This window comes from Homo sapiens, chromosome 5 (assembly GCF_000001405.40).
Source record: "Homo sapiens chromosome 5, GRCh38.p14 Primary Assembly".
In the NCBI taxonomy this organism is placed as follows: domain Eukaryota; kingdom Metazoa; phylum Chordata; class Mammalia; order Primates; family Hominidae; genus Homo; species Homo sapiens.
Window position 1 is genome coordinate 123,562,310 of NC_000005.10, and position 21,648 is coordinate 123,583,957.

Sequence of the window (21,648 nt, forward strand, 5' to 3'; positions counted from 1 at the left end):
TCGTATGGTAATTATTATTTGTCTATGTCTGTCTTCTCCACTGAATTTTGAACTCTTTGAGGGCAGTGATAATGATATGTTCATCTTTTTCTTCTTGGTAGCAGAATGATTGGCACTTGTAGGTTCTTGGTAAATGGTTGAAAGAATAAATTCTTAACTAACAATAATAGACTGTTTTCTTTCATTAGATGTGAAGTTGGGATGTATAATCTTCAAATTTCCTATATTTTCTAACTTCTGTGACCCTGTGATTAAAGTTTGATATTTTAATATTACACAAAATTGTCGTATTATTAATTTTGAGTTTATTCTATTTCTGGACAAATAATACAATTTCAAATTTTTAAATTCTAAAAATTAATTTCATTTGTATTATCCTATGATTAGGTAAATTTATTTTCTCATTTTGGACAACTAGAGATCAAAGGAAAAAATTATTGGTGAGAATTTTTTAATTAATGGAAGTGGTAACCAAGGAGATATGCAGAAAGTTTTATATTAAAACTTGCTGAACTATACAACTCAGCCATCTAAAATTAGTCACTTTCTTGAGAAGGGTGGGCTTTAATTATTAGAATTAACTCAGTTTCTTCATTTACTTGAAAGTAAGTATATCTGAATTGTTGATATTTCATGAAAATGCATAGAACATATTTGAAATTTATGGGAAAATTGTTTTTGGAGGTCTGTGATTCTCAGTAACACTTCTTAATTTTTTTTGACATGAGTTTAAATAGGCTACATTAGGAGAAACTGCAATTAATGCATTCCTTGGAACATCTTAATTAGCTGATATTTTTAATCATAGGAAAAAATAACCTTTTTTTCTGTCATAAATTACTACTTATCAGAGGAAGTAAATGATCTTTTTCTCTGTCATAAATTATTCTTGGCAAATCTCTGACTATAGAGATGATATTAAAAATACTGTTTGACACCATTCATATGTTAAATCATCATTTCTCGAGTGGCTTGACTTTTTGAGATTCCTTGGACTATGTAGTTCTAAGCAATAATTTGATGGTAGCCACAGGTGCTGTTACTGAAATTATAACTCTTTATAATGCTGTCTTTTAAAAGGTGTTTGAAAAGCCCCCTCTTTCTTCTTTATGCTGATCCTTCTGCCTTCTTGATTTGTGCCTTGTTAAAAAGTCTGGATTTATGTGCTCCCTGCAGTTTTTTACACTGGTTTATCGATGCCTACGTTTTCACTTTATTTTTAAGATGATTTAGTTCCGTCTGCTGGTTAAATGAACGTTGGTGATTTTGTAATATACGGAAATTTTATTGTACTGTTCACTTCTGAGAAGTATTATGGGTAATAGTATAAACTTTGTTAAAAGTTGTGGGTATAAACCATTCAGTAGTATCTAAAACTGATTTAATTCACAGTTACCAGATCAAGTTTCTCAGACCATGTTTTAGGTAAGACATTCAAAAAATTCTGCTCTATGTATATTATAAGCTGTTGTTTGAAAAAATTGAAAGGAAGTACTGTAAAAAGCATGAAAGTTAAGTGAATAAATACTTAGACTATTGCTTACTGTATTTTGATATTAACAAAAATAATGAAAATATGATATGAGTGGGTTAGTCAGTAGTGTAAACTTAATCTCAGCCCAGGTAACCAACAGTTTATGTAGCAGATTCTTAGAATTCCTTTTTCTGTCATAGCTAAATTGCTTTTAGAAGAAGTTTTTAAAAATATGTAATACTTCTAATTCTTTAAAGTTAGAGATCTCTCTGTATGGAAATTTCTACAAGTTTTACACTGCTAAACATTTACTTATTTATATGTGAATATATACTTACATTGTTACTACTATCATAGTAGATGGAAGTATACAATTTTTTTCTGTTAAAGTTGTAGTTTATGGAGAATGGGTACATTTAAAGAATGTTATGCATTATCAGAAAGAGGTGTTAACTGATAGTGGTTTTAGTTTGGTTTATATGGTGCAGGCATTAGTGTTGTGTGTGGTGTGGTTATTATAGTATTTTCAATGATTAATTAAGCACATAGGAATCTTAAGCAAAAAGCAAACCATACTTTTGAATAGGATATTACTAAATATACATAATTTTTGTAATTCCTTGTGTAATAGTAAAAAGATAGAAAGTATAAAACCATGAAAAATTATGAAAATTTCATATTTAGTTTTGCTTTAAGTGTTATATAATGCATTGTAAGAAGAAAAGATTTGTAAGCTTGTAGCTTAGGGACTAGGGGGAAGAATCATAGAGTCCATTTTTTCCTTAAATTTTATAGGCCCAAATTGGATAACAACTTAAGTTCCATTCAGTTTTTGCAACAGTTAAATTTTTACTTGTTTGTAGGTGATGTTATTTTTTTAATGTTGTTTGAATGTTAGAATAATTTCTAAATGTGTAAATTAAATCATCACAGAAAGGACTGTTGCTCTTTTTTACAGTAGAATAACTTGATTCCTTTTATTTGGGGTTAATTGATAGAATTTTACTGCTAAATGCAGATATTGTGGTCTTTTAATGGAAGGACTGTTACCAAGTCCATAATTCAGTTCACCTGTTGGTTCATAGCAGCGCTTACTATTCAGCTAGGACAGCACTTCTTAAACTTTCGGGTCTCAGGATTCTTTTATGCTCTTACCCTTTTTGAGTATCTCAGAGCACTTTTGTTGTTGTGGGTTGTAGCTATTGATATTTACCATATTAGAAATTAACACAGAAATATAAAAATGTTGCTATATTTGTTTAAAATAAAAATAATAATTGAGACATTTTAAAATCAAGGCAATTTTGTTGATATACTTTCCAAAACAGAAAAAATGAGAAAAGTAACATTGTTCTACATATTTTGCAAATGTCTTTAATGTCTGGCTTAACAGTAAACAGCTAGATTCCCATATCTTCTGCATTTAATACATTGTGATAACACAAGTCCCATAGTCTCTGGAATGAGAGTGAAAAAAACATATTTATGTTATTACAAAATAATTTTGATATTACTGACTTCCTGCAAGGGTCTCACGGACCACCTCTGTCCTCAAGAGCTTCAGGCCACATGTTGAAAACTGTTGATCTAGGAGTATAAGCATTTGTGCTAAAGGTTAAGAATGCCTTAATGCAAAATTACCCTAAAAAAAAGATAGGGTGATACTGTGTGATAATTCTGTACTTAGCATTTCTAGCCACAATTTAGGTTTTCTTAATCAGAGCTGTTTAAATTAAATCAGGAAGTTTAAATTTCCTAATAAGTTTGTTAGTACTTTTGTTCTAATTCTTCTTATTTGTGTTAGGCTGTTCTTGTGTTGCTATAAAGAAATGCTGGAGTCTGGGTAATTTATAAGAAAAGAGGTTTAGTTGGCTCACGGTTCTGTAGGCTGTATAGGAAGCATGGTGCCAGGCATCTGTTCAGCTTCTGGTAAGGCCTCAGGAAGTGTACAATCATGGCAGAAGGCAAGGGGAAGCCAGTTATCACGTGGAGAGAGTGGGAGCAAGAGAGAGAGAAAGTGAAGGGGAGGTGCAACACACTTTTAAACCAAATCTCATAAGAACTCAAAATCATGAGAACAGCACAAACCCATGAGGGATCTGCCCCATTGACCCAGTTAACTCCCATCAGGCCCCACCTTCAACACTGAGGATTATAACTCAACGTAAGATTTAGAGGGGACAACACCCAAACTATATCACTGTTTTACATTTTACATGAAGAATTCTAGACCTGAAAATGGATCATGATATTACTGTGAAATGGATCATGATATTATTTCCTTAATGGTCTACTTAACTAATACTTACCTGTAAGGAACTGAAGTATTTAAAAACTTGACACAAAGTACCAAGCAGTCTTTAATAGTTTCTGTGTATTACTGTTGTGTGACCTAATTTTGTTTTGTCACTTAAAGGGAATACCAACATATAAAATGAGATATTTAATGAAGTGAATTTTGGGGGAGTGAGGGTGAGATTGTATTTTCAAATATGTGAATTTTGTATTCATACTCCTTGAGCTTTTCTTGGGAAAAAATAAACTTCTCTTGAAAAGTAAAGATATTGGAAATTATCAGATGTAACTTTCATGAATTCACAGTGGATAGCTTTTTATATTAGTATCAAATAAAAATAATTTTAGAACCACTGGAATGGGTGGAGTAAGATTTTATAATTGAAAATTCACCAGGTGTAAGAACAAACCTTTCTGAGCCTGTCGTGCCCTCTTTTTCCTTACCTCTCCCATTTCTAAAGAATCTCTACCTTGTGACCTAACCTACCATTTACGTTGCTCTGGTGGTTTTGGTTTGTTTTTGCTTAGGATATACCCTGCCTCAACCTCTGTTTGTTAATTGCAATTCTTCTTAACTCTTAAAAATTTAAGTTGTTTGCTCAGTGATTAAAAAAACTGTCCAGACTTGTTCTGGGAAATAAAATTATAGTTTGGTGTAAATATCATTTTAAGTTTTTCTTTGTGGTCCTAGAATCTTTAAAGTAAGCACTTTTTTTCCTGATTGCAAAAATAGCATATGTTCGTAATAAAAATTAGGAAAAGTTTAAAAAAAAAAGTGAAGGTAGAAATCACCAGTGCTTCCAGTAATGTTAGCTTTCTGCTTTTTTCTTATGTTATCTTTTCTATTCGTATGTATGTTTAATGATTGTATTCGTCCGTTTTCTTGCTGCTGATAAATTGCCCTGAGGCGGGGCAATTTACAAAAGAAAGAGGTTTATTAGACTTAACAGTTCCATGTGGCTGGGGAGGCCTCACAATCATGGCGGAAGGTGAAAGGCACATCTCACTGGCAGACAAGAGCTTGTGCAGGCAAACTCCCATTTTTAAAGCCATCAGATCTTTTGAGACTCATTCACTATTATGAGAACAGTACAGGAAAGACCCAGTCCCATAATTCAGTCACCTCCCACTGGGTTCCTCCCACAACATGTGGAATTGTGGGAGTTACGATTCAAGATGAGATTTGGGTGGGGTCACAGCCAAACCATATCAGTGACTCATTAGAAATATTTTATTTTAAGGCCAGGCGTGGTGGCTCACGCCTGTAATCCCAGCACTTTGGGAGGCTGAGGTGGGTGGATCACTTGAGGTCTGGAGTTTGAGACCATCCTGGCCAACATAGGGAAACCCTGTCTCTACTAAAAATACAATAAAAAGATTAGCTGGGCGTGGTGGCAGGTGCCTATAATCCCAGCTATTTTGGGAGCCTGAGGCAGGAGAATCACTTGAACCGTGAAGTGGAGGTTGTGGCAAGCTGAGATCGCACAACTGTATTCCAGCCTGGGCAATAGAGTGAGACTCCATTTTAAAAAAAAATATTTTAAAAGTAATACATGGTTTAAAACAACAAAAATTTTAATCAGCAGTATTATAAGAAGTAAGTAATAAAAGTTTGTCTTTCACAGTTATCGCCAAAGATAGTCAAAGGCTGTATTATATTCCGTAATATGGGTATGACATATTAGGTTGGTGCAAACATAATTGCAGTTGTGGGCTGTGAATTTTAAATCATTATGACTGGTCTCAAGCACATCTTTATTAATCAAAATAGGAACCATTACGGTCAACACATTTTTGCCAATAAGAAATAAGTGTTTATTCTTGTAGCATAAAAATTAGTGCTTCGGGATTTGATGAACTCTTGGAAAGCATTTTTACTGCATCTTGCTGGTTGTGGAAACGTTTTCCCTGCAAAAGGTTGTCAAGATGCTTGAAGAAGTAGTAGTTGGTTGGCAAGAGGTCAGGTGAATATGGCAGATGAGGCAAAACTTCATAGCCCAATTTGTTCAACTTTTGAAGCGTTGGCTGTGCAATGTGCGGTCGGTGTTGTGGTGGAGATGAATTGGATCCTTTCTGTTGATCAATGCCAGCTGCAGGCATTGCAGTTTTCGGTGCATCTCATTGATTTGCTGAGGATACTTCTCAGATGTAATGGTTTCGCTGGGATTCAGAAAGCTGCAGTGGATCAGACCAGCAGCCGAACACCAGACGTGACTATGACCTTTTTTTGGTGCAAGTTTGGCTCTGGGAAGTGCTTTGGAGCTTCTTCTCGGTCCAACCACTGGGCTGGTTGTCACCGGTTGTCATGTAAAATCCACTCTTTGTCTCACATCACAATCCGATTGAGAAATGGTTCATTGTTGTTGTGTAAAATAAGAGAAGATGACACTTCAAAATGATGTTTTTTTAAAAAATGTTTGCTCAGCTCATGAGGCACCCACTAATCGAGCTTTTTCACCTTTCCAATTTGCTTCAAATGCTGAACGACCATAGAAAGGTCGACGTTGAGTTCTTTGGCAACTTCTTGTGTAGTTTTAAGAGGATCAGCTTTGATGATTGCCCTCAGTTGGTCATTGTCAGCCTCTGATGGCCAACCACTATGCTCCTCATCTTCAAGGCTCTTGTCTCCTTTGTAAAACTTCTTGAACTGCCACTGCACTCTATGTTTGTTAGCAGTTCCTGGGCCAAATGCATTGCTGATGTTGCATGTTGTTTCCACTGCTATATACGACCCATTTTTGAACTCGAATAAGAAAATCACTCAAATTTGCTTTTTGTCTAACATCATTTCCATAGTCTAAAGTAAATTTAAAATAAACAGCAAGTAATAAGTCATTAGCAAAAATACATAAAAAGAGAAACATGCATTAAAATGATGTATAACATGACGACATTTAAGAATGTATTCCAGTATCAAACAGCAATTTGCAACAATGCAAAAACTGCAATTACATTTGCACCAAGCTAATAATTTGTTTAATTAGCTTAGAGTTGGTGGATTTTTAGGTAGCTGCCAACTCTTTTTGTAACTGTAACAAACAATGAAGCTTGAACATGATTATATGCATACTTATGCTTGCTTTGAAAATGATAGGGTAATTTTCCTCCAAAAGCAAAAGGATAGAGTAATTTTCCTTCAAAAACAAAAGGATAGGGTAATTTTCCTCCAAAAATGTGCTGCTTTCTATTCTCATCAATGTTTTAACCCACAACTTTGTCAGTCTTGACTAATTAATTTTTAAATTATGAATATGCCTTTGAAACTACACCAAAATTTGACAAGTGGTCATTTCTTAAAGGTCAGTTACAATGTAGAGTATAGAAATCATACCAAAAAACTTTTTCTATTCTCATACATTAAAATCCATTGTAGTTTGAATGAACCATTTCTGACTACATGCATTGTCTTTTGGAGGACACTGGTTCATTGAGTTATGCATGTATTTCAAATACTAACACATTTCACTACCCAACATTAAATCATAATAGCTAATATCACCACAATTTCATCAGAACAAGCTTTTAAGTATTGGAAAACTGTCAAGGTCATCATAGCATATAAAAATTTTTACAAAATTCAAATTGCTTGAAAGCTTTAATTTTATTATTGGTAATAAATGTCAGTTTTTCTTGAAGTAAGAGTCTCTTCATTCATTCTTGAGAATGCTTTTTATTTATTTATTTGTTTTGCTTCGTTGTACTCTTGAATAGAAAAGTTAAAAGTTCTCTTGCTCTCAGTCATTAATGGAAAGCATTCAATCTTTCACCATTAAATGTGATGTTAGTTGGTAACTTTTCCTAGATTCCCTTTATCAGATTTAGAAACCTTCTATTCCAAATTTTTGAGTGTTAAATCAGATGCTTTCTTAGCACCCTTTAAGATAATCTTAAGGTTTTTGCCATTTCTTCTATTATTATGGTGAATTATATTGGTGGATTTTTGAATATTAACCCAACTTTGTATTCCTGGATTAAAACATTCTTAGCATGGTTTCTCATTCACTTATGTATCCGTAATGCCCAACCCAGTCCCATAAAGATATAGTATATGTCCAGTAAGTATTTGTTCAATTAATTAAGACAGTGAAATTCCTTAAATGGTTTTCCTGTTTTGGAAACTGTTGAAAACTTTTGAAAAAACCAGTCATTTTATAAACCAAAACATACTGCTATCTATCTTATTCAGAAGTCATTTCTCAACAACGTTAACTATTGGGAATATAGATGGTGATTCAGAAGGAAGTAGAGAACGTTTTGACAGTCCTTTCTTTTTTTTTTTTTTTTTTTCTTTTTGAAACAGAGTCTTGCTGTGTCAGCCAGGCTGGAGTGCAGTGGCGCGATCTTGGCTCACTGCAACCTCCACCTCCTGGGTTCAAGCAGTTCTCCTGCCTCAGCCTCCCAAGTAGCTGGCATTACAGGCACACGCCACCATGCCTGGCTAACTGTTTTGTATTTTTATTAGAGATGGGGTTTCACCATGTGGGCCAGGCTGGTTTCGAACTCCTGACCTCAAGTGACCCACCGGCCTCAGCCTCCCAAAGTCCTGGGATTACAGGCATGAGCTACCGCGCCCAGCCGACAGTCCTTTCATTGAAGAAGTTCAAAACCTTTTTATTTTTACATTTTTTATATAGTTCTAACAAGCTTTGATCTGGTTTCCATGCACCCTGCATATCAGAAGTAACAAACTGTAGTGGAATAAGTTATTAGAGATTGTTAAATTGAGAGGATGTAAATTAACAACTTTCAGTGGCAGAGAGGGGGAAAAAGCATTATGGAAAGAATTTTCAAAGCTTAGTAGCTGAGAGCTGTCGATGTTGTGGTAGCTGAGAGCTGTCTGTAAATCTTAATTGCATCTCCAGCTTCTTAATGTATATAGCATTGTAAAAGCAGGATTTTAGAGTTGGAATAAACTTAACAAGCCTCTCATTCCCTGTTTCTGAACCTTTTCTCCACCTTTACACATGTGAGGGGTAGATATGACAAATACATCTAAGAGTGGCTGTGGTAGGAGTGTCTTTGATTCCCAGTAGCAAGAGGAGATGGGACAAGCGTGTGTGATGTGTGTGTGTTTGCAGGGGGTGGTGATACATACACATTGGGGTGTATCAGAATCTCTGTTTCTGGGGAGGGCACCATGTATGCAGTTTGAATTTGTATCCATTCCTGCTATGATTACACTATCTTTTTTTGTTTGTTTGTTTTGTTTTGTTTTGTTTTTTTGAGAAGGAGTCTTGCTCTGTCGCCCAGGCTGGAGTGCAGTGGCGCAGTCCCGGCTCACTGCAATCTCCGCCTCCTGGGTTCAAGTGATTCTCCTACCTCAGCCTCCCGAGTAGCTGGGACTACAGTGATTACACTAGCTTACATTCCCACCTGCAGATGTTCTGCTGCCTCACTCATATTCATATCTGAGAAATACTTGTCTCATCCAAATCACTAATATTATAATAGATAAGTAAACTGAGGCCCACTTGAGAGGTTGAATGACAAGCTAGCCACACAGCTGATGAATATTAGGTTAGACTAAGAATGTAGTTTTCTTGGTTTTTAGTTCAGTGTTTTCTATTCTGTCCTGCAATGATTTATATTCAAAATAATAGGGTAAATAATAATAATGTTATATTTAAAAAACGTTTTATTAAAAAGAATGAGAAGTTTTCATTAGATTTGTTTTCTCTTTCAATATACTGAAAAAAAATCACTTGGAAGTAAAACTGAGACATTTGTGGTGGAAGAAGTTCATTTTTTCATGCTAATAGATAAATGCAGTGTTAAGTGTCAAACTAAATAATAGGGAGACTTGTCTAAAAGAAAATGATAGTTATTTACGAGTGGGCATTACAATGGGAATATATGTGAGTATATTCAGGGAGGTAAAGGAAGACAAGAGTTTTTAAAGGAAAAATGAGGAGGGTCACATAAGTTGTTTTGAGAGAGTTACCCTTGGCTACAAGGATCATTAACAAGAATGGCCTCAGTCTGAAGTTGGACAGGCAGTTCCTGGGCAGATGTCCTCACAGAGTAATTTTTTGTAAAGTTGTGGTGGCTTTTGTTCCAGGTTGTGGTTTTTGCAGTCTTTTGTGGTAGTTCTTCTTATCAGGCATATATATATATATGTGTGAGAACCCTCCCTTCATCTCCTTCCCTAGCTCTGTTTGTCAGGGTTTTAATACAAGTGACTCTGTTTTGATTCTGACAACTTCCATATAAAGTAAATTGATCACTTACATTTCAGTTTATTGGGAGTCTGTTAGTTCTGAAAATAAAATACAGATGACTTCATATTTGGAGTTTGTATTATTCAGACTTCATATTTGGAGTTTGTATTATTCTATATAGCTTCATAATGAATTATTACTATCTCTTACTGGCTTAAGATGAAAGACTTTATTATCTCACAATTTCTATGGGTCAGGAATACGGGCATGGCTTTGCTGGGTCTTCTGTTTAGAGTCTTACCATGTGGAAATTAAGGTGTAAGCCTGGACTGCAATCTTACATGAGCCTCAGTGCTCTCTTCCAAGTTCACTGATTCTTGTCAGAATTCAATTCCTCATGGCAATAGAACTGTGTGGCCCTTACTTCCTCAAGGATTCCTATCTGGCATGTGGCTCCCTCCACTGCATGGTGGTTTGCTACTTTAAGGCCAGCAGGAGAGTTTCTCTGCTGTTTCCAATATCTCTGACTTCTAGACTATCTTTTTAAAGTCTCACCTGAATAGGTCAGGTCCACCAGGATTCTCTTCCTTCTGATCAACTTACAGTCAACTGATAGGAGCCTTAATTACATTTGCCGTATAAGTTAGCCTGGTCACAATAGTGAGATCCCAGGAATCATGCTCACGTTCAAAGGGAGGGGTTTATACAAGGTGTATAAGCCAGAGGATGGGAATCTTGACAGTGGTGATCTTAGCAGTATGCCTATCACATGGTTATTAAAGCCAGTAGTGACTCTCTTTTCAGTAGAACTGGAATCTCTCCTATGTGCTAAGCCTTTCTCCAGGCCATGGAAATATAAAGCTAAAAAGCCCAGCTTTTGTCCAGTAATAAGGTGGTAGAGAGAAACAATGAAGTACTGTTTATAATGTAATTCAGTCATGCAGCTGCAATAGAGGTGTATCCAGGCTACAATGTGAACATCAAAGAGAAGGTATTGGGAGGTTGGGAGGTTTGGTCAGGAAAAGTATGTATCTGGAAAAAGTGATAGTACTGCTTTAGTTCTTGAAACTATAAAATTTTAAATATCAGTTTTTAAGAGGAAAACCTTAGTATTTAAGATGATGAAATTATTAAATGAGTATTTCTTTTCCCCCAGATGGTATACCTCAAGTTTACTATTTCGGCCCTTGTGGTAAATACAATGCTATGGTGCTGGAACTGCTGGGACCTAGTTTGGAAGACTTGTTTGACTTGTGTGACAGAACATTTTCTCTTAAAACAGTTCTCATGATAGCTATACAACTGGTAAGTAAAATAAGGTATTTGAAGTTGTTTGAACAATTACATGGTTGTTGGTCACAAATTCATATTAAAAGTTTAAAGTTCTGTGATATTGTCTTACAGAGCGTTTGACGTAATACAAATGTTTCTACTTTTCATGTTGTCTTTCTGGGATCCATGTAACTTAAAATAACTGAGTCAAGTATATTTTATTTGTATAAAAACTAATAATTGCTTTAAGATCAAAATGCTCAGTTTGCAAATTAAGTTGTTGCTAGCCATTTCTTCATATAAAAGATGATTACTTCAAAAGAGAACCCTCAGAAACATAGATTTTTTTTTTTTTTTTTGAGACGGAGTCTTGCTTTGTTGTCCAGGGCGGAGAGCGGTGGCGAGATCTTGGCTCACTGCAACCTCTGCCTCCCGGGTTCAAGCAATTCTCCTGCCTCAGCCTCCCGAGTAGCTGGGACAACAGGTGCATGCCACTACGCCCGACCAATTTTTTGTATTTTTTGTAGAGACAGGGTTTCACCATGTTAGTCAGGATGGTCTCGATCTCCTGACCTTGTGATCCGCCCGCCTTGGCCTTCCAAAGTTCTGGGATTACAGGCGTGAGCCACCGTGCCGGGCCAGAAACATGGATTCTTAATTTTGGTAATAGACTTTATGACCTGGAAAAACAAGAGGCAGACTAATGAGAGAGTCTTGATAAACTACTTAGACTTCAGGGAATCCGTTGGATAACAATTAGAGAGTGATTTTAAGGCAGTTTCGAAATAAATGCCAATAGAAGTGTGCTGCAGAAGTCTTAAAATTGTTTTTATTCATTGACTCATTAATTCTACAAATTTATCCTATGGATGTTTTCATAGGTACTTAAAGCTTTATATGAAAGGATGTTTATAATAAAAAAAGGAGAAGCAACCCAAATATGCAGAAATAACAGGGTTAGTTGAATAAATTAATATCCAGAGGAAAATATGCAGCTGTTAAAAAGTGCATATTAAAGATTGTTTTATAGGCTAGGTGTGGTGGCTTGTGCCTGTAATCCCAGCACTTTGGGGAGTCTGAGGCTAGAGGATCACTTGAGCCCAGGAGTTCAAGATCAATCTGGGCAACATAGTGTGACTCTGTCTCTACAAAAATAAAAATAAAAAAAAAAATAAGCCAGGTGTGGTGGTGTGCTTGTGTAGTCCCAACTGCTGAGGAGGTTGAGGCAAGAGGATTGCTTGAGCCCGGAGGTTAAAGGTTGAAGCTGCAATGAGCTATGCGTTCCATCCTGGGTGGCAGAGTGAGACCCTGTCCCTGCCCCCACACACAAAACATCAAAAAACCAACCAACTGCCCCCAAACAAAACAAAGAATATTTCATGACTTTGCAAATGCTCATATCATTAATTAAGAATATATAGACATAGAATATTGTACATTATATGCTGCAAAGTTTGTTAAACAAACTAGAATGGCCTGTGTAGCCATATGTTTACATTGCATTGTTAACCATGATTATCACTAAATGAAGCAGTTTTATTTTCTTATTTGTAATACTCTATTTTATGACAGTTTGTACAATGAACATTGAGAATCTGTAAAATAATTAACAAAAATGAGCTATATTATTAATATTAGAGTTGGATTTCAGACTTTTCTAGCTTTATGATCTTTCTAGCTTCAAGATTAATCATTTTTAAATGTTTAATACCTAGGAAAAAGTAAAGGAAACATGTTATGAAAAAGAAAAAGATACTGAATAGTGCTGTTGTTTTTACTTAATAGTTTAGACTCTTAAGTTTCTTTAATATACTTGTAAAAGTTGCTTGGTTATTGAACTGATAAGGAAGATTATATTGCAATGTTTTGCATATGTCTGCTTATACTTTTGGGTTCAAGGTCTTATATCAATGTGGCTTTTTGATTTTATGAAGTAGCATCCTCTGAAAGTGTTCATTGAATCAGGCTTGCTGATATGAAAGGAATTCATAAAATTCAAATACTCTCGTTTAGCAGTGACCATAACAGTAAAGGCAAAGATTTTAAATTGCAATTTGCTATGTGAAGAATGATAGGCTGACATCATTTTACTTTTAAAGGGTTGAAACAATTTCTGATTTATTTCTTTTGTATGTTTTCATTCTGTCTTGCCTTTATCATACTTGCTTAGGCTAGTCAAAGCCCAAAATAAAACTTCTCTTCTTTTTTTCTTAAACCAAGATTTCTCGCATGGAATATGTCCATTCAAAGAACTTGATATACAGAGATGTAAAACCTGAGAACTTCTTAATAGGACGACCAGGAAACAAAACCCAGCAAGTTATTCACATTATAGATTTTGGTTTGGCAAAGGAATATATTGATCCGGAGACAAAGAAACACATACCATACAGAGAACACAAGAGCCTTACAGGAACAGCTAGATATATGAGCATAAACACACATTTAGGAAAAGGTATGTGTACCTTTCGTAAGTATGGAAGTTTGAACTTAGCAGCTGTGCTAACACTGTGAGTTTTTATTTGTTATGGTTCAGTTTTTGCAGATTATAATAGCTTTTATTATAATTTTCATTTATCACATCTACCTAGAGTTTACTTTCACTTATATTTTAATAAAACTCTTTGAAAGTAAGTTACTATAGAGTAAATGAGTGACAGCTATCTTTACATTCACTGTATTTTTTGTATTTATATAACTTGAAGTGTTCAACTTTGATACAGTTATGGGGATGCATTTAATCATTTCTCTTACAAAATATGAGAGAATACCAAATTTTAACTGAATTCAGTACATGTGGAAATTTTGGATTGAGACCATAGCTCTCCAATATGGCTAGCCACAGAAATAGCAACTAGCCTAATAAGTATAATGCTAACAGCATATACCTTAGAGGTGGGCAGAGCTGGCTTACCTGTATGCTAACTATGACTTCGGACAAGTTTAACCTTTTTAAGGGGTTTCTTATTGGTAAAAAGAGTAAAACAATATCAACTTCACAGGATTTTTTATAGCATTCTTCCTTCACCCAGATTCATATTTATCATATCCCTTAAATCATTTTCATCTGGAACAGTTCCTCAGTCGTTCGTTATGGCTCATGACCTTAATATTTTTTAGGAGCACAGGCTATTTTATAGGATATCTCCAATTTGGGTCTGTTATTTCTTTTTGACTAGATTTGGGTAGGCATTTTGAGCACAAATATCACAGAAGTGATGTGTTCTTAGTGCATCATGTTGGGATCACTTGCTTGGACGATATCTGCCAAATTTCTCTACTGAAAAGTTTCTTGTAGTTAGATTTTGGGATTATGTAAACATGTTGTTCCTCATCAGATTTTTGCCCTCTAGATTTAGCATCCATTGATGATTTTCTAACTCCATTATTTCTAATATTTACATTTCCTTATTTGTCAGTTGATATTCTAATGTCAGCAGAAGCTTTACCTTCTCCCCCAGTTATTGACTTATGTCTATATGAACTTATTAATTCTTATCTTATTTAATGTAATGTATTGAATGCATTATCATTATTTATTCTGATAGCCAAAGGGTTCCAGATTTGGCCACCCGTTGCTCCTTCAAGCTGGCTTCTCTGTCCTTTTGACATGTTCTCATGAATCTTTGAGTACTTTCTTTCTTTTGGTGCAGCAAGTTCTTATAAACAAACTCATCTTGTAGTTTCTCTTCTGCAGCCCCATAATCAGTCCTTTTCTCCAAGAAGTTCTGAATCCTTTTATTGGATAATGGTATTTAGAAACCAAGATTTGGCCACTGGATATGCTCATTACTGTGGTATGTTGTTACTGCCAGGCCCTTTCTGCAGCAGAACTAGGAAATGTTTGTGCATATATGTATATACATACACACATAGAAATATGCCTACATATATACGTATGTATACACACACACAGAGACATACGTTAATATCTGTTAAAAATTTTGAGTTTATACTGATACACTTTTAATTTCAGTCTGTCAGTACAAAATAGTATTTCCCTTTTCTATATTTGTAATTCCATCCCTTTTCCATATTTGTATCTTTTTTTTTAACAGTGAGAAATCTGGCTATCACTACTTACAATATATTTACTTGTTTTTAAAAGCTGAGGATACTCAGAAAGTAGTTTCAGATTGCCAAATGATACCACTTTATATAGCAAGTCTAATAGAATTATAACATTTGTAATTCTTATTTTATTGAAGAGTTTTTTTTTTATTGAAGTAAAATTTACATTGGGTAAAATATACAACATTTGATTATATAATTTGTGAGTATTGATGAATGTGCATACTATGTAACCCACACACTATCAAGATTTAGAACACTATCATTATCCTATAGACTTCCATTTTACCCATCTTAGTCATTCCCCTCCTTTTCTAGAAGCAATCACTGATCTGATTTCTATCACAACAGATGAGTTTTGCTGATTCTATTACTTAATATAAATAGAACCATCCAACTTCTTTTGGTGGGTATAATGTCTTTAAGATTCATTTATGTTGTTGCAAGTATCAGTAGTTTATTCTTTTTTAATGCTAAGTAATATTCCATTGCATAAACATATCACAAACTGCTTATCCATTTGAATGTTGATGGATATTTGGATTAAGTTTTTGACTTATGAATAAAACTTGTATAATATTCTTACAAATCTTTTTGTGGGCATATTTTTCAGTTTGGTCCTATGGCAGGTATTATTTAACTTTATAAGAAACTGCCTGTCTGTTCTCAGGAGTGTTCATACCTTTTTTTATTTCCATCAGTAATGAATGAGAATTTTGTTTGTTTCATAATCTTGACAACATTTAGAGTTGTCAGTCTTTTTCATTGTAGCTATTCTAGTGGCCAAGGGGTAGTCTTTTAATTCCTTGTGATTATTGTTTCTGAGATCTGTTTCATGTATTTATTGGCTATTTGTATATCTTCTTTTGAAAAGTGTGTGTCATTTCATTGTTAATTTACAGAGTTCTTTATATATTCTGGGTATAATTATTTTGTCATATATATGCATTATGAGTAATTTCTTTCAGTCTTTGCTTGCCTATTCATTTTCTTAATGGTATCTTTTGATGAGCAGAACTGTTAAATATTTTTGAAGTCTAGTTTATCAGTTTTTTTGTTTATGGTTATTGCCTTTTGAATTCTAACAAATCTTTACCTTCATGTAATAAGGTAAACAAATCTTTACCTTCATTACATTTTATGCTTTCTTCTAGAAGCTTTATAGTTTTAGCCTTTTATATCTGTGCTCCATCAGAATTGATTTTTTATATGGTGTGAGATAGGGGTTGAGGTTCTTTCTATGATATCGTATTCTTTCTTATTGAATTACCTTAGTGTGTTTCTTAAAAAGTCAATTCTAGATTACATTTGCCACATTCAGTATTCATATCAGAGAAAGTACAAACTTAATTATCTGCTTTTAGATATTATTCTGCTTTCAGATACTATTAGACATCTTACAACAGATAGACAGAAATGTGAACCAATCAGTATATATCCATCACTGCTGCTCAAAAGTACCTTCAAATATACAATCACAGATTTGGACAGAATCTTGGAGGTCGTCTAATCCAACTTTCAAATCCTGATCTTAGCTTTTCCTCTAAACATTCTCCCCAGCTTTAGCTACTCTATAGAGCATGTCCCTGCTCTGCCTCTCAATCATAACTCAGTAGGATGTGGCATCTTTCCTAACAGCTGACCTGACGGTAGGCTTATGGTATTTTTTTCTTTTCAGACATCTGAAATGCCTGAAAAATGTAAATTTGCTGTTTTTTTTTTTTTTTTAAGAAAAGTAAGTTTCAAATATTTAAAATTATGAAACACAAGTTTTATTCAGTTAATATGTTCAGGGAGTAGCTTTCAATAGCTGACTTTCCTGGTAGACTTAAAAATATGATTGGGTAGCTATACAACTTTTGGGGTTGTGACTTCAATTAAAACCAGGCACACCTATATTTATTTACATGTTCAGAGTCTGTGAGAAATTTTCATTTTACGGGAGTTGTTAACAGACTATTTTATAACAACTAACAAAGGTTCACCACTATTTTATTGTGAGACATGAAGTCACAACTTCCTTAGGGCCTAATGTTCCTTATCTGAACAATGGTAAATGTAACAGCATTCTATTTGTAGAAATGGCGAAGTGAGTGTGATATGTTTGTCATTGTTAGGAAAAGTCATCAGTACCTAGGAAGTGAGATTGAACTATTATAATAATCTCTCTTTACTCCTCTTTCAGGAATAAAATAAAAATGTATTTATTTGGCAGGTATAGCAAACAACGAATGCTTAATGTTTACTTTTCCCCATTTATAAACACTCTGCTTCTCAGTTTTCATGTAAAACTCAGGAGTAGGTGGGTAATATTAACAGATAAAAAATTTTGTTTCTAAGATTACATGAATTCCTATTTAAAAAGTTAAGAGTAAGGTAATATGAGTTTGGATGCTGAGGAATTAAAGCATTTGGCAAATTGCGATGCCTTTGGATATGGAATACATAGCGGTGTTTTAAGTTTAGAGTACTTGGTTTTGTGAGGAGTCAGGAAGAGATAAAGAAGGAAAAGGAGCAGAGAAAACATGACCTTTTAATGTGATTTTAATTTGTGCGTATCTTATTTCTGCCCTCCCTGCTTTGCCTGGATCTTGGTGATTACTTTTAAAGCCTTATTCATTCACCCATCTTTCCATCCATTCATTCATTCTTAGGCACTCAAGGACTTCTTGCTCACATGAACTTTTCAAAATAGAGAGTTTGGTCAAAGGAACATTATATGGGTTTGTAAGTATTTTTCCTTTTTGGAGACTGACACTATCTTAGACTTAAAAAGGAAAAAGATGTTCCTAATATAATAATATAGAAGAATAGTGTAAAATCACATAATAAGAATTAACATTTTATTCTTGTAGTATCTGTTGATCTTAACTAGGTTATTTATGTTCAGAAGGCAGATGTTGCAGTTCACATTTATACCTTTCTTATAGCTGCTTAAGTCTCTGTCCAAGATGCAATCTTGATAAAGCTTTATGTTACAGATGTGGATTTCCATGTGTCCTTGCATGAAAACTTTCTTTAGTGTTGACATATTGAATTGTTACTTTTGTGTCACATCTGATCAAGTGTCTGCTTTTTAATATCTTTTTAAAGACTTTTGTTAGCTGCCCTGAACCTCATAATCTTCCTTTGGATGACTATTTTTCCCTTTTATGTCTTCTCTTGTTGAAGTCATTTGATATTAAGTAAATAATGTCTATTTCTCTTTGGTGAATAGCCTTGAAATAAAAATCAGATCTTTTATTTTTAAATTTTTATTGATTATTCAAGAATAAAAAAACTAGGATTTGAGGGATAAGTTGGGAGTTGCTTTGTAAGTGTTAATAGAAGAATGATGTTTCAAGCTTCTAAGTGGTAAGTTCTCTGAATAGGAGAGAAGGAACCACAGAATTATGGTGTTCCAAAAATGCCTTCTTTCTGTGCTATCATTCTGTGGTGTGATTCATATAATTTAATTTCTAGGTTAATTGTTCCAGTTTCTGAGGCCTGCTCTTTAAGCTGCTCACACAGCTTTTTTGCAGTTTAAAAACATGTATTTACATTTTATAATTATATTTTAACAGTTTAAAATGTATTATATAATTTTTTGTTAGAGTATAATGAACATAATTGGTATTTTCTTGATGTTTCAGGGTATAGTTTTTTTTATATGATTACTATTATATAGCAATATTCTCAAGATCAGTTGGAGAAGGTTAGGATGGATATCTTTATCTAAATAAATTTGGAGACAATTTTATTTATACTTTGTAATAGATTCTCTTTTTGTTTTTTGGGTTTGTTTTTTTTTTTTTTTTTTTTGGCCTTCACCTGTGTTGTCCCTTACTTTTTGATAGTGTGTGTAGTATAGCTACTGCTGGCAACACTTTGCTTTTCTCTACCTTTGATTTACTTCTTTTGACCTTGTCACCAAACTTACAAGAATTATGTCTAAATTAAGAGAACTAGATTTCAAGAGAACTTTAGGAATTAAGTGAATGCATGTACTGGGTTCAGTTGCACAGAAAACTTTTTCTAAGTTTTGTTTATATTACTAGATTAGGTGTTTAGATTAGTGAACTGTTCCTGTGTATTGTCTTGCATAATTGTGTTTTGTTCTTTTCCTTTTTAGGTTTGTTTTCTCTTTTTTTAAAAAAAAAATCCTTGTTATATAATTTTGAAAACTGAGCTCAATGAATCTTGAGGAAGAGGTATTTTTGTTTTTTTTAGGGTAGTGCCAACTAAAGTAACTTTTAATATTTAAGAAGGAAATATAGTGAACCTTTTCTTCCTTGTAGTAGATAATTTTTATCTTTTTTTTACTTATAAGAAATGATTTAAACTTTATTCAGGGAGAATTTTTGTTGTTTGAGCTGTCTTGGCTTTGTCTTCTCATGTCTGTGCTTTGCTTAGCCAACATGTCTTTTGGCCTCATTGTTTTTCATTATGGTAGAAAATGCAGTAGTAAGTTTATTTTTGCAAATATATGCATGTATCATAGAAAACTTCCTGCTTCTGTGTGAGGCATCGATAAATTTGAGTTAACGAAAAAGGGAATTTTTTTTGTTGAAAATTGAATTGAAATTTCAATTGAAATGGAAACAGTGTTAGGCAAGTGAGGAATGAAATCTGATTTAAAGAAAAATAAATAATGTTGAGATATAAGAGTAGAATTTTTAAATAGAAAAGCATTGCAGAAGGTTTCCAATCAACATTGATTAAGTGATGAAATGCTTTCCAAAATGAAAAAAATGCAGACAAGTGGGCTGAAATCTTGCCCTCCACTTATTAGGTACCTAGTTTTGAAGTAGTCACTTAATCTTTCTGAGCTTTACTTTCCTTATTTGGGATTACAAATAACTGTTTTCAGTGTAGCTGTAATTTTGAAAGATAGTATATATGAAACATGGACACAGACTCTTAATACGTGTTGATTATTTTTTATGGTACATATATTCCTGAAGAGGAAAATTTTAATGGACTATGTACCTTTTTAATTGGTTTCAAGACCTATTTAAAATAATCTTTAATGATACCTATTTTAAAGAAAAATAATCACTTTCTGGTTTCCTTAGGTGCTCATAGCAAGAGTTCTTATAATGATTCTTGGCCTTGTGGAAAAACATTCGCTTTCAAACAGGCCTTTGTAGTTAAGTGCTTTAAAAAATGTGAACAGGCTTTAATAGGGGCCAGATTACTGTTGGGAGACTTTTTTCATGTAAAAGAACTGTTAAAGACCCTAGGGGGTGTTCTTTAGTTACTGTGTTTCAAAGAGAAAGCCTTCCTGTGATTTCTGTAACTTACTACATGGTAAAATTTATTTCCAGATATGTCAGTTGGTGAAAGAACACAAAAAAAGAAATTATGAGGGTAAAGAGCATTTCAGACTGAGTTTCAGTAATAGATTTGTTTTACTAGCTAATATTTATGGCTTGAATTTTGAAATGCTTTGTGGGTTATGAGACTAATACTGTTCTCTGATAGAACCATGTAGGCGAGATCACCTTATGACCGTGGCTTATTGGCACTATGTGACTAAAGCTTCCCCTTGGATAGAATTCAAAGAGGAAGTGCCTTTTATATTGAGTTCCTCTCCATAACAGAGCGTCTTACTGTAGGGCTCAGCATACTTTTACATGTATAGTATTTTAAGTTTTTTAAACTATATGCATATTATATATAGGTCTTGCATATACATTGATAAATGTATCCTTACATATTTCCTGTTTTTTAATGCTGTTGTAAAGGTATTGGTTTTAAAATTCAATTTTCACTTGTTCGTTGTGAGTATAGAAATCCAGTTTTTTTTTTTTTTTTTTGAGACTGAGTTTCGCTCTTGTTGCGCAGGCTGGAGTGCAATGGCGCGATCTTGGCTCACCACAACCTCCGCCTCCCAGATTCAAGCGATTCTCCTGCCTCAGCCTCCCGAGTAGCTGAGATTACAGGCATGTGCCACCATGCCCAGCTAATTTTTTTTGTATTTTTAGTAGAGACAGGGTTTCTGCATGTTGGTCAGGCTGCTCTCGAACTCCCAACCTCAGGTGATCAGCCCGCCTCAGCCTCCCAAAGTGCTGGGATTACAGGCGTGAGCCACCGCGCCCGGCCCAGAAATCCAGTTGATTTTTATTTTTATTTTGTAGAGACAGGGTCTTGCTCTGTCACCCAGGCTGGAATGCAGTGGTGCAACCATGGCTCCCTGCATTGTCATCCTCCTAGGCTCAAGGAATCCTCCCACCTCAGCCTCCCTAGTAACTGGGACTACAGGTGCATGCCAACACACCCAGCCACCAGCTAATTAAAAAAAATTTTTTTTTGTAAAGTTAGGGTTTCTCTATGTTGCCCAAGCTAGTCTTGAACTCCTGGTCTCAGGCTATCCACCTGGCTCGACCTCCCAAAAGT

At 34.4% G+C, this 21,648-nt stretch overlaps 1 protein-coding gene across 59 annotated transcripts in view; it reads left to right on the plus strand.

The window, feature by feature from the left end:
- Window positions 1-21,648, plus strand: part of CSNK1G3 (casein kinase 1 gamma 3) — a 104,873-nt gene that overhangs the window by 50,133 nt on the left and 33,092 nt on the right. For all 59 annotated transcript variants that reach the window (XM_017009060.2, XM_047416765.1, XM_047416768.1 and 56 more), the window contains 2 exons: window positions 11,084-11,232; window positions 13,420-13,654. In XM_017009060.2, the coding sequence (XP_016864549.1) occupies window positions 11,084-11,232; window positions 13,420-13,654 (384 nt within the window). The remainder of the gene's footprint in view (window positions 1-11,083; window positions 11,233-13,419; window positions 13,655-21,648) is intronic.